Genomic DNA, 18,540 nt, shown 5'->3' with positions numbered 1-18,540 from the left:
GTTCCAGGCATCCACCGGCGGTCTTGGAACATGTCCCCTATGGATTGGGAGGGGTTACTGTACTACATCCCCATCCTCAGCTGAGCTAGGAATGGAATGACATGCCTGAAGCAAAGCACCACCCTGGCCCAATGGTCTCAATGGCAAGCAGGGGTCATGCACCACCAGACGTTCTGTGTGACCACATCTGCAGGAGTACAAGTGCCCGAGGAGTTGTGGATGGAATGGGATGGGCCTGGGAAACACGGGCCTGGAGACCAGAAGGGTGAGGAAGAAAGGAGAAAAGAGAGTAGAGAAGAGAGAAAAGGTGGAAGGAAAAGAGTGGGAGAGTCAGGGAGGCAGGAGGAAGCGAGCTACTACTGTCCAGGAAGGGGGCAAAGCTACCAGAGGGCATCCCACCCCTACAATTGACACAGCTCTCTTATGTTCCTGGTGCCCTCTAATATATAAAAGCACTCTCTGCTAAACACAAATCATTTACTACTTGTCAACTCTTCCCTTGACTATTTTAAGGGCCTAATGAAATGAAACTTATGCGTGAAGAAAAGAGATTCATAATACGGTTATTTCAAGAATACAGAAAACAGCCACACACCCCTCAGTGCTGATGCAGCACTCTACCTTGCCAGTCTCTTTCTGGGTTATATTAAAACAAATACGGTTCCAGGATTCTCTCTACGAGCAACCTAGAATACATAAAGAAAAAAGATACGGTGTTGCCACACCCTAAAGGCCCCAGTAACCTCTACACACCATGGTCCTTCTCAAAGTTTACACTTATCTTACTTAACTATGTTTTCTCCTGAGAAACCTGGAATGTTACAGAGCTGGAAACGACATCAACTAATCTATATACTTTATTTTATACTAGAAGGAACTGAATCCCAAAGTCATTAAATGAGTGGTTTTAGGTCACACACAGGTTTGATGATGAAAGAGGGTACTACCCAATTTTGCCATTATCACTGCAGTATAAAGGAGGGTATCTGTACATATGTATATCACCATCTTTAGGTCAGTAGATTACCCATTTCTTCTTATTCACATGAGAACAGCTTGTTAGAAAACCCTTAATTGTTGTATTTTCTTTTTCTTAATTCATGCTTCTGTAATCTCCTGAGACTGGTTTAGAGAGAATACAGAGCTTACAGACAAGTCTTAAGAGTGTGATTTCTTTAATGTTTACAGTCTTATAATGCAATGGGTATTAAACCGTAATTACCAGTATTTTTAGGTTGATAAAAAACACATTTTTGTTGAAATATTGTGAAATTTATGGAAAAATAGATTATTATTATATTCAAGGTTTTTAACACATTTTCCAGCTCTTACTTTTGGTCATTTTTTTATTTATTTTTATTTTTAAAATCTCTTAATCATCTACCTATTTTTTCATAACATTTACAATATTTCACCAAAGTATATTCCACTCAGTCTTAAATGAGAACCTGAAACTAAGTACAAGTTAAAAGAATGGCATGACTGTGTCATACTCATATGAAGAAGAAAGTGTAGATATATAGTCATTAGTTTGGGGACTGTGAAAAATATAAGTTTTATTAAGTATTGTTTTGTCTTTTCAAAAAACAATGTGTAATTCTCAGTCCGAAAAATTTCCACTGATGAAATATATATTCTGTAAAAGGTTAAAGTTAAGGATAATGTAAAGCATAAGAGTTTACTGCCATCTTGTGGAATGTTTGCTGTTACATTCTGAAATACCTTTTTCTCCTTTATTGTCAAGAATGTCATTTTTTTGTTACTATTAGTTACAAAATGATTTGAGAGGTCCCCAAGAACTAACCAGAACTAATACTTATCTATAAAACAAGACATGAGAGGACTCATATGCTTTGCATCACGGAGATTTTTGATTCATATAGCTTACTACCCCTTGTTTCCAGTCATTTGCTCATCTACTTTTCCTGTTGAGTGAATTTAGCATTTAATTTAATATATTTTACTTATCAAGGATTCAGAATGAGAGAAATACAATATTAGAGTGTTGACTGACACAGAAAAGAGCAAAGAACATATTCTGCTCTTGGACATTTAGTCCAGCCCAGGCATCCAGGACAATTGTCAATAAGGTAGGTCCTTACTAACAAAATTTGGTACTGGGATCAGCATTACCTGGGACATTTTAAGAACTGAAAAGACCTGGACCCCATTCCAGCCCTACTGAATCAAAACTTTCATTTTTTACAAGATCCCCAATTGATTCGCACGCACAGTAAAATTTGAATTGTACTAGCATTGACCACCATGTGTCATTCCATTTACACTTTTATTATAGCACAATATGCACACACACACACGCACACACACACACATACACACACCCCACAGTTGCTTGGAGATGTGGGAAAAGCCAAGCATCAAAACACTTGGATTCAAGTCCATGTTATTTAATTTGTGCATCTGAGTTTAAGCCCGAGAATTTAATTTTTGTGGACCTGAGATTTTTCATCTGTATCATAGAGAAAGGTGTTCCAAGGTGATTCTAATGTCCCTTCTCATTCTAAAATTCTTTGATTTACTATTTATGCATCAGTTGTTAATTTAGTTAAATATCCATGCATCATTTATTCATGCATCAGCAACTTTATTGTTTGTCTCAGTAATTCTGATTGCAGCCCAATGATTAAGTTTTAAATTCACAGCTGGCAAGCTGGTGGCCCAGCAGACATGTTTTGTCTACTAAGAAAAGTATTTAAAATTTTTGAAATTATTGCCGGGTGCGGTGGCTCACGCCTGTAATCCCAGCACTTTGGGAGGCCGAGGAGGGCAGATCACTGGATCAGGAGATCAAGACCATCCTGGCCAACGTGGTGAAACCCTGTCTCTACTAAAATTAAAAAAAAAAAAAAATTAGCCGGGCGGGGTGGCGCAGGCCTGTAGTCCCAGCTACTCGGAGGCTGAGACAGGGGAATCGCTTGAACCTGGGAGGCGGAGGTCGCAGTGAGCCGAGATTGCACCACTGCACTCCAGCCTGGTGACAGAGCAAGACTCCATCTCAAAAAAATTAAAAAATTGAAATTATTTACCAACATTTAAAAAAAATCATTATTTCACATCAATGCTATGGATTTTCTGCTTCTCTTCAAAAATCAAAACACCTGTCCAAGCTCACACTTCCACATGGAAACAATTACCTATGGCTGAACCCCATTTTGCCCCAGTCCCCACCCAGCCCTTTTCTTTACATTAATGCCTGATCCCTGTTGGCCTTGGGGTCAGTAATCTATCACTTAAGCAGTGTTCTCAATCAAGACATTTAGCATGTCCAAAACCTGTAATAGACAGACCAAATGAAAAATTGTATTCCTTTACAAGCTCTAATCTTCAACACTGAATTGTGCATTTCACTGTAGTGTGAATATCCTTTTTATGTACCACAGTACCCTTTTATGACTATTAAGTATTCACAGCATTAGAATGAGAATTGGCTTGTCCACACAGGCCCAATTTACTAATTACTTCTCTTAGCCAGCTTTTACATGTCCACATGTATAAAAGTGCAAGCAACACAGTTCCCTTCCTATTCAAAGATTACCACTAAGCTCATGCTGTAGGAGAGGAAACAATTTCTATTTTGGGGGGCCTCTGACTGCACCTATGAATTAAACTGACATAAGGCAGATTAGCAAGAGAAAGATGTACCAGTCTTAGAATTTTACATGTACCTGGAGTCCCCACAAGAAAGTGAAGCCTCAAAGAAGTGACCAGAGCAGAAAGCTTATATGCCATTTAAACAAAGAAATGAAAGATTTGTGAACAAATGACAAGACACAGGCGTTTGGGCTAGGAACAGTAAGCTATGGGGTAGTGATTAAGAGACATATTGGGGGAAACTAATGGAAGATAAGGATTATTTTAGTAAGGTTGTTTGTACAGATCCACTTCAGCATTGATTTCCAGTCTCTGCTGATAAGGATGTTCTCTTCCTTGTACAGGAAGGGCACCTTTCTCATGGCAAATTTTATAGCCTGTTTTTTAGATGGAAAAGAGGAGTTCAGAAAGCCCTTCCTGTATCTGCTGTTTCTCAAGTGCCTTCAGCTCAAAACGGTCAATATGCCACGGTAGTATATTTTTGGGTGGCATGTCCTGAATTCCTTCAATGCAAACAAGTAGAAGCTACAGCACTCTCTTCTCTAGAGAAAATATAAAAACCTCTGGTCATTGGTAAAGGTTTTTCATGCAACAGATATTTATTGAACAATGTGCAGGATGATAGTATAGCTTTGAACAAGACAGACATAATCTCTAACCTCATAAAATATGCAGTCTTACAGGGGAAACATACAATTACATAAGCAATTCCAGTCATCTCTGATGGTGCTTATGATAGAGGTTGTCACAGCTTAAAACAGAAAGTGTGAGCTGGTGTAGGAGTTGGAAATGTTTAGGGGATTCTAACATCCTTTAAGCTGAGACCTAAGGAAATATACCAGCCATTTAGGGAATGAGGTAGGAAGATGGTTCCAGGAAAGAATATCATGTGCAGAGATCAAGGGAGAGAGAGAGAGCATGGCAAGGAATGAACCGAAAGATAAACAACATGGTTGGAATAAAAGAAAAAGGAAGGAGGCTGGTATGAAATGAGCCTGAAGAGACAGGGCAGTTTCTAGACATTGGATATTGCCCTAAGAGCAATGGGAAATCACCAAAAGGGCTTAAGTGAATAGTCATCTTTGAGTCTTTAAAATAGCACTTTAAATTAGCATAAATCTAAGAGCTTAGATATTCGCAGAAATTACGGGTATCAAATAAATTAATAAATGCATTACCATCAGATCCCTGCCATCTGGTCTCACGTTCACTATGACTGCAACGGTAGTGGAGCCATGGGGCAAGAACTCTGTTCCACCTGCACTTTCAAAGATCTCTAGGGCATTAAAAAATAAAGATATGCCTAAACTTGGTTATCAAAAAAACATGTTTTATTTGAGTTGTTTACATTTAACAAATTAATACTTGTAAAACACAAAAGACAAAAGGCATATTATTTGCTCTACACTATATATTTTGTTAAGTTAACGTAAAATATTAATTTGTTGTGTCCTAGAAGCACTGTGGCATGGTAATGAGACATATTTTCCATATTTTACAACATATTTTTTTCCATCCTGTCATGTATCTCTGTGCTAGTATGTATGACCTTATTTGGGGATAATGCTGAAAGTCTAAATTTGAGCCATGTTGACTGTGAGGAAGGCCTAGTCGAATGGCCTCCTGGCTCCATGGAGACAAACCCTGGCTATGTGGATGAGGCAGTGTTACAGCCAGCAACATTTACTCACGGGTGCACAGGAGGTCAAACACATTATCCCTTGACCTGCAGGCTGAAAGCCAGTCTTGTCTGGCTGATCCTGCTGTTCCTAAGCAATCCACAGCTGGCTGACTAATTTAGGATGGCACTTTAGTGTTTTTAAAGCATTTTTTCTGTTTAGCCCACTTATTTCTATCCCACTTAATACAACCTCTAGACACTGCTTCAGCATCCTGCTGTTGAACATTCACTGCACATATTGACCTGAGCAGAGTTAAATTATGGGGCAGTGCCTAAACATCGATGGCTCATAAGCACTGGCTGATGATCTTGTCTTGACAAGTGGTGTGTGTGAGAATGGTTAAGCAGTCAGATATGACATCTAAGGCACAGTACAGGTCATAAAACTGTAAAAAATATGTTTTGAGAGACCCAGCTCCAACGTATGATTTTTAAAATGAAAATCTTTCATTTTGAAATACTTCAGAGAAGTCCCATGTAATTCTCATGTGACTCAGTATGCTAGTGTCAGCACTGGGACTAGGACACTGTACTCCAGAGGTCCAGGTATCACTTTCCGTGCCATCACTTTCTCTTGTATCTTTTTCTTGTTAAAGAAACAAACAAAAAGCAAAGCAAAATGTCCCAAGATTGAACATAATCACCATATTCTAGTAAAGGGCTAGCAAATCAGAGCCCGCAGGACAAATCTAGCCCACCATCTGCTTTTATAAATAAAGATTTATTGGAACACAGTCAATCTCATTTTTAAAGAATTGCCTCTGGCTGCTTTCACATAACAATGGCAGGGTTTAGTAGTTAGACAGAGACCTTATGGCCTACAAAGCCTAAAATATTTACTATCTGGCTCTTTCCAGAAAAAGTTTGCTGACCCTGATCTAGAGCAAATAAAACTGGTTTGGAAGTATAATTGTGATTTATTTAATTTTCTTGATTTGTCTTAGGTTACTTTAGAGCACTTTGCAAAGTAACAACTGGTGAGAGCAAGCATGTTGAATAGGAGAGGATAACGAGTCTGGGATTTTAAACCTGCAGTCAAGAGCCACACAGAGTCGATGTTTCACCTGTTATTCACTGAGCATTGGTTATACTGAGGTGGGAATAGCTACAACAGCAAAAGTTTCTATCTTAGCACATGTACATAACTACCCCCAAAAGCTACCCTTAATTGAGCCTTTACAATGAGCCATGCTATATTGGATACTTAACAAATATTATTTCATTGAACATATAGAACTCCTACAAAGTGGGGTTTAGTATCCTCATTTCTTATAAGAAAACTACATCTCGGAGAATTCAAGTCACTTGCTCAAGTTCACCCAGCAATTAAGTGTCAGAGCCAGGATCCACAGTAGGCTGATCCAGCTCTAAGGTCTTGGTTCCTAACCTCCATCACCCATGAAAGCACACTGTGGCAGTCTGCAGCAGCCTCTGCAAACTGCTCAGCCACCACCAGATATGGCGATGCAGTGATGGAAGATATTTTCTGGTCATTTCTATTGATGCTTTGCTTATTCTTCCCACTTTGACCCCAATTTGGGAACCCAGGAAACCAGAACTATGCCAGTGCCTACAGGTTCAGGGAGAAAGCAGGAGGAAGTCCCAGAAATCAGGACTACATAAGCCAGCAAAGGCAGGCTCAAGGATTCCTTTCCTGTCCACCTCCAAGGCACTGCAGGCAGCCACACCCCTAATTCAATCAACCCTGCTGCTTTGGCGTTCACTTTAACCAGGTTTTTGTTTTGTTTTGTTTTGTTTTGTTTTGTTTTGTTTTGTTTTGAGACGGAGTCTCGCTCTGCGCTGGACTAGGAGCTGGAGTGCAGGCTGGAGTGCAGTGGCGCGACCTCGGCTCACTGCAAGCTCCGCCTCCCAGGTTCACGCCATTCTCTTGCCTCAGCCACCCGAGTAGCTAGGACTACAGGCACCCGCCATCATGCCGGGCTAATTTTTTATATTTTTAGTAGAGACGGGGTTTCACCGTGTTAGCCAGGATGGTCTCGATATCCTGACCTGGTGATTCGCCCGCCTCGGCCTCCCAAAGTGCAGGGATTACAGGCGTGAGCCACCGCGCCCGGCCTAACCAGATTTTTTTAGTATTAATTTAATATTATTTTATTTTAAGTTCTGGGATACATGTGCAGGACGTGCAGGTTTGTTACATAGGTTAACGTGTGCCATGCAGGCTTGCGGCATCTATCAACCCTTCACCTAGGTATTAAGCCCCGCCACTTCAATCAGATTTTACCTGGCAAGAAGATGGGAATCAGGCAGGCCTGGCATGACTGCTTCCGGGTGCTGCATCCCCCGCTCCAGAGGAAGCGCTTCCCCTACAGGTAGAAGGCAGCAGTTACCCTACAGGTAGAAGGCAGCAAAACAGCCGTCAAGCAACTTCAGTGACTCGCCCCAAAGGATTTAGATCTCTTTCCTCCAGAATACTAAAATGTAGGCAAAAGTCATATAATTAAATGATTATTAATAACTTAGAAAATATGAAATCTCTCAAAATTAATTTAGAATTACTCATTTTTTAAAAGCCACTCACATTTTACCCACCTTTTCCCCAAAAATATTTCATTACTCAAGTTCACAGCCATTTTAAAGGATAGCAGTCGCTCTCCTTTTTTCATGCCCTTTAATACCACGTATTACCAGTTTTCATGCCAATTACTTGTCATAAGAGCCTTACCCTTACCCTTGTCAAATTTGTAAAGGGATGTTTCTTCAACTGGGAAAATATTTTTCTCTGTTTTAGCTCTAGACATCTGAACCAAAAGAAAAAAATATCGCCTTCAGTGATGAAAAGCATGGTGTGCAAATCGACTCTCTGGGTTCCTGTGGAGAGATTCTCATCCCACATAAATAAGTCTTCAGGCGCCCTGGTCAGGACTTCTCAGGCAAAGTCTCTTCCAGGCAGGTAGGAGCTGAGATGAGGCAAAAGCAGCTGTGTGCAGTGTCACTTCAAAAGGCAAGGAGATAACTAGACAGATTTGCCTCCAGGCAGGTCCTCCGCAAGCGAAACTTTACCAGACAGGCAACCGTTCTTGCCTGCCTAGGAAATAAGGCAGAAGCCACGGGGGCTGAAGCTCCTAGTCAGGAAACTTCCTCAGCACATCCTGGAAGGCAGGTCAGCGTGAGGCAGGCAGGGCCACTGGGCATGGAGCTAAACTGTAGAAGCCCACCCTTAGGCTCCTCTCAACATGCTGTCAATGTAACGATGTTTCTAGAAGAAGAGCAATTTCTTCTAATGAAGTACTGATTTAGACTCTGAGGCAATTGCTGACCTATCTTGCTCTGAAAAGATAAAGGAAGAATGTAATGTGTTTGTTGCTTGGGCAAGGTGTAAATGCAGCTGATAGATCTCTGTGCATGTGCATGTATTGATGAGAGTTTTGTTTGCATGCACAGTTGTATCGTCTGTATGCAACCCAGTTAATGATTCTTACCATCTTATCTTGAGTTCACAACCTATGATTTCAGGTGAATTTCTTTTTAGGGAGGACACCGCAATCAAATATGAGAAAGAAAGCACATAGCTGGTAGAATATTTAAAATAGCCACAATAACAACAAATTTTATATTCCTGAATTTCAACAGGTGAAATGAATCAGAGATAGCAGTGATTATAAGAGATCCTAAGTCTGTCTTGTAAACCTCATTTGGAATTGCTCATTGGCTAGCTTATTCTGTGAAGTGAATTTAGAAATTAGAAAATCTCAGATAAACAGACCATCAAAGAGCTGATTAGATAATTATGACTGACTTAATGCCAGTGAGATAGACACAATAAAGACCAAATCAATGGCCCGGTGCCATGTTGCTCTAAATCTCATGTCTTTAAAACAAACTGGGAAATATAAATTTGGCCACACTGAATGGTGTATTTTACAGGAGCTTTTGCCTACCTGGACATCAGACTTTCCTGAGGCTAATGGAGTCCAGACCCTCTAAATACTAGTAATGTCCCAAATCTGGACCTAAGTATACCTTCGCTAGAAGCAACAACTTTTTCTAAGAGCTTGTCTCTGACTCTCAGTCCAGTAGGAGACTGCTTCTATTAGAGAAAGATGAGGAGGAAGGTCAGAGAAACCAAGGACTACTTGATCCTAGGTAAAGCCCTCGGACAGAGTCTTGGCATTCACTAGATGGTCTCCCTCCTCAGACATGTGAGTAGGATGCTCAAACACCTAGGGTAAAATCAAGTATGAGAAGAGAGAAGTATCAAGAGGCCAATAAAGATGGGAATGTTCTTCGTAGCCTAACTGTGCCTAATAGAAATCTCTCCCAATGTATGTAATAAAATATTGTATAAATAATGATCTCACACACGCACAAAAAAAACAGGTCATCTGGTGTGTAAGCATAAAAATATGAGAAAAGATTACAAAGAGTATGTAGTTCAGACAATTAAAGGCTGGATTATAGAGATGGTAGCGTAGAAAAAGGCACTGATTCAAAAGGCATATACACCAAATAACTCCTCTTGCATTATGAGTACATCATTCATTCACCCACCCATCCAAGACATGCTTATTGAGCATAAACTAACTGTTAGAAACCATTCTCAGCACTGGGGAATATGGTGAACTAGACAGCCAGATAGAATGCACAATCCCAGGGCATATACATTTTAGTAGAGGAGACAGAGGAAAACATATTTATGCATATGTAATAAAAGATCAGATAGTGATAGGACTTTTGAGGTGAAATGAATCAGGAAAAGGGTTAAACAGGAGTATGAAGAGGTGATTTTGGTACATAGAAGCTCGTCTACATTTGGGTTAGGAGGGCCTTTCTGGATGACACTGTAGAACAAGTCCAGTGAATATCTGGAGAAAGATGGTCCCTTGAAGGAAGAATAATGAGGGCCAAACTCAAAGAGATTGACAAGCTTTTGATGCCAAGGGCAACAGGAAACAAGCCAGCATGAGCAAAGTAAAGTGGTAGAAGCTGAAACAAGACAGATGGGCAGGGAACAGCCCCTGTAGGGCTTTGGAGGCCATGATAAGAAGTTTGAATTTTTAAAATGCGTAAACAGAAATCACTGGAGGTTGTAGAGCAAGGCATGGCATGATCTGAGATTTGTTTTTAAAAGACTATTTCATCTCTTGTATTGGAAACAGACTATATCCCAGAAAGCACAGAAACAAAGAGACCAGTTAGGATACATTAGAGCGACCCTGGAAGGAGATAGTGGTGGATCAAAATAGGGTGATAGTGGAGGAGGGAAGGGGAAACAGTCAGATTTGGGTTATGACTTTAACTTCTCAGGACCTGGGAAAACTAATGACCATTATACTTTAAAAACTGCTGTGCAAATGATGTCAACACAGGCCTTTATAGCCCATCAATTACCTTGGTGCTTTGAAGTCACATTTTCCCTGGATCTAGGTTCACCAACTTGTCTGATGGTAGGACAGGGCTTCAGCACACATGCTCCCCTGGAGCATCTGATTCTGTTACCTTGGTGGGGTCTATAAATCTGTTTAACAAGTTATCTAAGAGTCTTTAACAATAGGAAAGTTGGGGAGCACTGGCTTAATAACTGAATTTCTTCATGCTCCACATACTATAGTTAGCTCCACCTTCCAGTGTAAAATTTAGTCCTCATGACTATGGGTACTGGGGGTATCACCAAAGTCATTGCTTCCAATTCCAGATGAAGTTCAGAATCACACAATGGCCTTGATAAAAATGCTTTTGGCCAATAGATCAGAAATAGGCAAGTAATCTCATTGCTCCTAGATTTCTTCTGTTTCTACTTGCTACCATACTAGTTCAGATTATTAATTGCATTTTTTTAATTCCATAAGGAACTCTGATACTAAGTCAAACTTCACAGCACCTAGTATTAAAGATGCTTCTCCTTTGCTTAGAAATTTTCCCTGGATCACATTTTTCTATAAATTTCCAAATTGTGGATTTGGCATTCAAGAAACATGCTATGATTGGGCTCCTGCTTAACTTCATAGTGTTTTCCATTCCTAGCCCCTTAAGAATCCCCATGCTCTGACCATTTTGTCAATCAACAACAAGGACCTCACATTTGCAGTTGTCTGTTCATGTCATTCTTTCCTTCTTTCTAGAATTCTGCTTATCAAAATTTTACCCCTTATTCAGAGCCAAGCATGGGCCACTGTATTCTGCTACCCATCTGATATGGTTTGGCTCTGTGTCCTCACTCAAATATCATCTTGTAGCTCCCATAATTGCTACGTGTTGTAAGAGAGACCCAGAGGCAGATAATTGAATTATTGAGGTGGGTCTTTCTCATGCTCCTCTTGGATAGTGAATAGGTCTCATGAGATCCGATGGTTTATTATTATTATTATTATTATTATTATTATCATAATACTTTGAGTCCTGGTGTACATGTGCAGAATGTGGAGGTTTGTTACATAGGTATACAAGTGCCATGGTGGTTTGCTGCACCCATCAACTTGTCATCTACATTAGGTATTCCTAATGCTATACCTCCCCTAGCCCCCCACCCCCTGACATGCCCCAGTGTGTGATGCTCCCCTCCCTGTGTCCATGTGTTCTCATTGTTTAACTCCCACTTATGAGTGAGAACATGCGATGTTTGGTTTCTGTTCTTGTGTTAGTATGCTGAGAATGATGGTTTCAGCTTCATCCATGTCCCTTCAAAGGACATGAACTCATCCTTTTTTATGGCTGCATAGTATTCTATGGTGTATATGTGCCACATTTGATGGTTCTAAAAATGGGAATTGCCCTGCACAACTCTCTCTTTGCCTGTTGCCATCCATGTACAATGTGGTGTTGAGCCTATGAGTGCACAGAAGTCAAGAATTGAGGTTTGGAAACAACCTAGATTTCAGAAGATGTATGGAAAAGCATGGATGTGCAGGCAGAAGATTGATGAAGGGGTGAGGTCGTCATGGAGAGCCTCTGCTAAGACAGTACAGAAGGGAAATGTGGGATGGGAGCCCCCACACAGAGTCCCTACTGGGGCACTGCCTAGTGGAGCTGTGAGAAGAGGGCCACCATCCTCCAGATCCCAGAATGGTAGATCCACTGACGGCTTGCACTATGTGCCTGGAAAAGCCACAGACACTCAATGCCAGCCCATGAAAGCAGCTGGGAGGGAGGCTGTACCCTTCAAAGCCACAGGGGTGGAGCTTCCAAAGACTATGGGAACCTACCTCTTGTATCAGTGTGACTTGGATGTGAGACATGGAGTCAAAGGAGATCATTTTGGAGCTTTAAGATTTGACTGCCCCACTGGATTTTGGACTTGTATGGGGCCTGTAGCCCCTTTGTTTTGACCAATTTCTCCCATTTGGAATGGCTGTACTTACCCAAAGCCTGTACTCTCATTGTATCTAGGAAGTAACTAACTTGCTTTTGATTTTAAAGGCTCATGGGCAGAAGGGTCTTGGATGAGACTTCGGCCTGTGGACTTTTGAGTTAATGCTGAAATGAGTTGAGACTTTGGGAGACTGTTGGGGAGGCATGATTGGTTTTGAAACGTGAAGATATGAGATTTGGGAGGCACCAGGGGTGAAATGATATGGTTTGGCTCTGTGTCCCCACCCAAATCTCATCTTGTAGCTTCCATAATTTCCACATGTTGTGAGAGGGACCCAGTAGGAAGTGACTGAATTATGGGGGCAGGTCTTTCCCTGCTGTTCTCATGATAGTGAATGGGTCTCACAAAATCTGATGGTTTTAAAAACAGGAGTTGCCCTACACAAGCTCTCTCTTTGCTTACTGCCATCCATGTAAGATGTGACTTGCTCCTTTTTGCCTTCCACCTTGACTGTGAGGCTTCCCCAGTCACATGGAACTGTAAGTCCAATTAAACCTCTTCCTTGTGTAAATTTGCCCAGTCTCAGGTATGTCTTTACCAGCAGCATGAAAACAGTCTAATACACCATCTCTAAACTCTTTAGCCAGAAGGGACTCCTCCTTTGTGTCAACCTTAATGAAATGACCATTTTGGCCACTTCTATGACTTATAAGGCCCTATATTGTGGCTGTGTGCTTAATTTAGATTGCTGATTGATGGCAAGTACTTTTTTTCCACCAGGGTCTACCATGTCTGAGATATGTTAATCTGTATTATCCAGTTTGCTTTATATATTTGCATTTGTTTGGTTTTCCATGATGTTATCGGAAGCATGAAGGAGCCATCTAAAATGAAAACCCAAAACCTTTAACACGCTTTCTGTCACTTATAGGATATATCTCTCCTCCTAAGCCTGGCATGGAAGGTGCATGGAAACTTGAATCCTGCCTACCTCTCCAGTCTTATCGCTTTTTACTCATCTCCTTGTATTTGGTATTCTAGCAAAATCAAACTGTTTTGTTTCAGTACATGAAAAAGACTGTTATTCATGCTCCAGCTATGTGACTTTTTTCATGAAATTTCCTTTACCCTACTTCATCCTGCTAACGCCTTTTCTTTCTGCAGTATTCAGTTAAGTGGACACTTCGTCCAGTAAGCCTCCCTCCTCACCAAATGTATGTCTTGAGCCACCAGGTTAGAAGATCTCCTTTTTCTCACATAATTTAAGAAGAACCATGCATTGAAATTGCCTTTTTATTAGTTTCCCTGTCAGTCAACTGTAAGCTTCTTAAAACCAAGAAATCTGTCCTATTTTATTTTAATTTCCAGTGTCTGCAGAAATCTGGCTCTGATAAATGAATATGTCATTGCATAAGCAAGCATTCAGAGAAAAGTATGAATATAAAAAAATAAACACATTGACAATGTTTCCTGAGTTTTTTATACCGTTCCTATTCCCCAGGTGATTCTGATGTACCTCCAGGGTGAGATTCATGGCCTTAGACCAAATGTAATTGACACTAAGTAAAAATCAACTGAGCTGTCTGCCCTGTGCAACACAGACCATCAATTCTAATAAGAAGAAAAAATGTCTAACCCTTTGGGTTTAGTCAAAATGAAAGTTAAATATGGAAGCAACTTTGTTAATAGTGTAGAGGTGTGAAACCTTCTAAAACAAAGTTGTCTGGCCTAAATTGTCTCTATGTTCTCTATAGATGAATCTAACTCACTGAAAAATTAATCTCATTTTTACTTTTTCAGCCTCAATAGGACACAGCTGCACTGATGTTAGTCTCAATTGATGGAGTGAAGAAGCCTCATCTTTATTCAGTGTAAAGCAGCTGCCAAGAGAAATGGCCTTTGAGAGGGGTAATAAGTTCATGAATATCACCTGTGTCGTGCAAAACAATATTTGATTTTTTTGAAAGTTTAAATTGATTGGAAAGAACATATGAATTAAGTGCTATCTCGTGAGTGAAAAGTTTTGCTGCAGGGTGACAGAGTGCGCCATCAAGGTGATGCATTTCAAACATTACCTTCCTGTGACACAAGGGAGTCATGGACCAAATGGAACAGAGGAAATTATGACCCGCTGGCCAGGATGGATCTGTAACATAGGAATGCCACACCAATATCCTGCATTCCTATTTCAGAGAATAAGACCTTGAGCAAATAAAACAAACACTGAAGTAGAGTTTTTCTCTGTGTATGAATATGCTCCACAAAATTAGGCCATGCTGGAAATTCATCATATATTTAGGAAACTATTCTCAAGGGAAAAAACAGTGTTATAGACTAGTAACCTAATAACTGAACATATGTACACACACACACACACACACACACACACACACACGGTCTTTTTCTCTGCCTTTCCAAAAATGTCTCACTTTTCTATTTTCAAATTCTCATAAATTTCTCTCTTTCTTTCTGTTCTATTTGATTCAAGAGCTTCTTATTTGACTGTTAACAAAACCCTTGTGTTGTATTCCGCAGGAAGTTCGTTCTTTCAGCTCTTGTCTGTCAAAGAGGTGGCATATGTTCCATTTAATGGAATTGCTACCAAGGGAAGGTAAACAGTCTCCAAGAATTACGAAGCCATTCTCCTCAGACTCGTTAAGATTTGACCTTTTAATAAAAGATAGTGTTTGCTTAAAGGTGATATTATATGAGAACTTGGGAATGAAATGTTGATTTCTTTCACCTGGAAAAAAATGTGCAATAAAAATGTGAACACTGACAAAGCCCTCAATACATGTATACATGCCAAGGGGTGCTACAAGTAATTTACATGTATCTATTAATTTGCTTTTTGTACCCACCCTTTAAAGTTGTTTTAAAATACCACTAAAATAAAATAAAACATTTAATGTTGTCTTAAATTCTGTTAAAAATAAAACAGAGAACTTGCAGAACTGGAGCATCCAGTTAATAAGTGAAACAGCCAGGATTTAGACCCAGAAAATCTGGCTTTGCAGTCCTGATTTCACCTATTAGGTATATTATGTTAAACTTCAGCAAGAGAGATTTTGATTAGGCAATGAAAAGACTCATAGACCTTGGGGAAATGTCCAGCTGAGGTGGTAATTTTTCTGATTTAAGGAGTCTAAAAAAACTGCATGTGATTCTCTTTCTGGTATAATTATAATATAGTCCATTCTCTCAGCAGGTAATTATACTAGTTATTTCACTGGGTCCTCTCCATTACATTATGACAAGTAGTAGCACAAGTCACAATATTCTTTTCAGCTCTATCTCCCACTTCAACGCTAGTTCTATTTCCAGCATCAATTCTGGCTGTAGGGTTGACTTTCATCACAAACATATTTAGCTTCATTAATAAACTTGAGACCTTTCTGTTACCCTCCCTTGGTTCTCTGCACAATGCAGTCAAGATATATATACAAAATTTTGTAATTTTTAGTTATGAAGAAGTTCAGAATTTTCTTTCTCAGGTATCCAGCACAAAGTTTTTTAATATTCAATATTACTCTCAGCAAGGCCACCGTATGCATCAAAAAGGGGAATCCTGAGTTAGATCAATTTAACAGAACTGAGGACAGTGCAAAAGATATTAAACTCAGGGTCGAGTAAATTCTCATTAAATAGTGTTAGTTCATTGATTCATTTTGTATAAGTACCAAAAACTCTTTTACAGAAACCAAAAGTTACTCCTTTAACCTTGGTACATTCCCTTTAAATATATGCCTTGGGCACTAGGCAAGAAGGTATGGAAGGATAAGCTCAGGCTTTCCCTACTGGTAATAGAAAAACAGCTCAAAGAGCAGATATTTTGTTTCAGGTCATACTAAAAATAACTATATAAATAACATAGAAATGACTAGATAAATATGCATAGCTACACTATGAGGGGCCTAAATAAATAAGCAAATACAACTCAATCAAGAGTTTGGTCAGGAAAAGGATCTAAGAGGAAATATGTTCAAGGATAAGGCAGTACTAAAGGAGACTCTAGGCCATGGGGAAAAACTGGCCCATGTGGAAGGATGAAATGTCCTTCCCACCTTCACCACTCATATCAGAGAAAAAAAATCCAGGTGTTGGGAAGGAACAATTGATTATGGTGTCATTTGTTGTCAAGCTAATAGAGGGACACTTTATTATGTAACCCATGGTCTGGAGGTCACAGGCTAGAGGAAGATGGTTGTAACAAAGAAGAAAGAAGAGGATTCTAAGGGCTTACCTGTGGAATGACAATGAGGGTCTTCCAACAGGTCAGAGCAATGAGGCCATGTCTTCTCATACAGTGCAAATGGGGAATGAGAGCCACAGTGACACAGCACACCACAAAACATGGTTTTGCATGGCCTCTACCTCTTTGCAATTTGAATGTATCACCAGAGAACTTAAGCAAAAATACGCTTGAATTTATTTGTAATATTTGTGCATTCACCTCAGTGGGAATAATGGAGAAGTTAATATACAGCATCAAAGAAGAATAATGTCCTGACATCCTCTCCAACTCTGTCCTTGTCACCCCAACATCAGGTAAATATCCTGTAACTGTGAAATACAGGGCAGAGAAGTTTTTGTCGCCTCCCCAGAAAATAATGTGAGGCACATTTTGTGGTCCAAGCAGACAGTCTCTCACAGGATTTATAATTAAATCAACCTGCCAAAGAAATGTCTGTACTCCCATGTTCATTAAAGTATTATTTACAACAGCCAAGATATGGAATCAAACTAAGTGTCTCTCTACATAAGAATGGATAAAGACAATGTGGTGTATATTTACACAATAGAACACTATTCAGCCTTCAAAAAAGAAGGAAATTCTGTCATTTGCAACAACATGGATAAACCTGGAGGACATTATATTAACCCCAATAAGCCAGGGACAAAAAGTCAAATACCACATAATCTCACTTGTATGTGGAATTTTTAAAAGTTGAACTCATAGCAGCAGAGAGTACAATGGTGGTTACCTGGGGCTGGGTAGGGGATGGGGAGTGAGTCAGAGAGATTTTGGTCAAAGGATATAAAATTTCAGTTTGATAGGAGGAATAAGTGGTGATTATAGTTAACAACAATGTATTATACTCTTAAAAATAGCTAACAGAGTAGATTTTGTTTTCTACCGCAAAAAAAGATACATAATGTGAGATAACACATACGTTAATTAGTTCTGTTTAGCCAATCCACAATGTTTACATAATTCAAAATATGTTGTACATGGTAAAGACACACATTTTTACATTAATTAATTTTATACCATAATAGTTTAAAAAAGAATTTACAATTGAATCCTTTAATGTTTAAGACTGAGGCAAGAATAAACAACTGATGGAACTGCTTTGCTCAATGTTTCCTAAGTGCACATGGCCTGCTTCTCATGCTTCGCAGCCATTTAGTCTCCATTTACTTCTTCACCTCAAGATCTTTACTTAATTGGTACATTGGCTTTCATGACCACTTTGAACACTTTCCTCTGGCTCTCCATAAGTAATGACATTTACAATTGCAGCAGCTCATTCTTTTCCTGATCTTCCTTCCAGAGAAATAATTCAATCTTTTCCTGCCATCAAACAAAGCATGCATCTTGGCAGTTTATGATTATGCGCTCTAATCATCATATTGTCAAGAATAAGAAGCAAATCACTACAAAATGTCTCAATGTCTCTGTGGTAGAGTCAGATCTAGCCCCTTTTTTTCAGGGTCTATATTCATTCTTTTTTCAGGTTACACTAGCCACGGAGCACAATAAATTCATGGTAGTGTTTTCTAATCCAAAAATCTCTGGTTCGTGTCTCATGAGGAGTACAATCACAATGGCATACAGTTCTTCTATTTTTTGTGTGTGGGAAAAATAGCAACTAGTTTGAGATATCAAACTCAAAATGGTTCATTTGTTCTGAATGAATTTCTCTGAACATATCCCAATCATTGGGCAATGCATGACTGTAGATAACTACTCGTT

At 39.6% G+C, this 18,540-nt stretch overlaps 2 long non-coding RNA genes across 2 annotated transcripts in view; one reads left to right on the top strand and one right to left on the bottom strand.

Moving 5' to 3' along the window:
* LOC105373640 (uncharacterized) overlaps positions 1-7,626 on the bottom strand; it is a 58,027-nt gene extending 50,401 nt beyond the window's left edge. Inside the window, exons 1-2 of the long non-coding RNA XR_923371.2 lie at positions 7,539-7,626; positions 4,791-4,888 (exon numbers count right to left, since the gene is read on the bottom strand). This is a non-coding gene — a long non-coding RNA (uncharacterized LOC105373640). The remainder of the gene's footprint in view (positions 1-4,790; positions 4,889-7,538) is intronic.
* On the top strand, positions 7,618-14,796 carry LOC105373639 (uncharacterized). The gene is made up of 3 exons (XR_923370.3): positions 7,618-7,735; positions 8,046-8,207; positions 14,364-14,796. It is a non-coding gene; the product is annotated as an uncharacterized LOC105373639 (long non-coding RNA).
* The last annotated feature ends 3,744 nt before the right edge of the window (positions 14,797-18,540 follow it).

Source organism: Homo sapiens, chromosome 2 (genome assembly GCF_000001405.40).
Source record: "Homo sapiens chromosome 2, GRCh38.p14 Primary Assembly".
NCBI lineage: Eukaryota > Metazoa > Chordata > Mammalia > Primates > Hominidae > Homo > Homo sapiens.
This window is presented reverse-complemented; position numbering and strand designations above follow the sequence as displayed.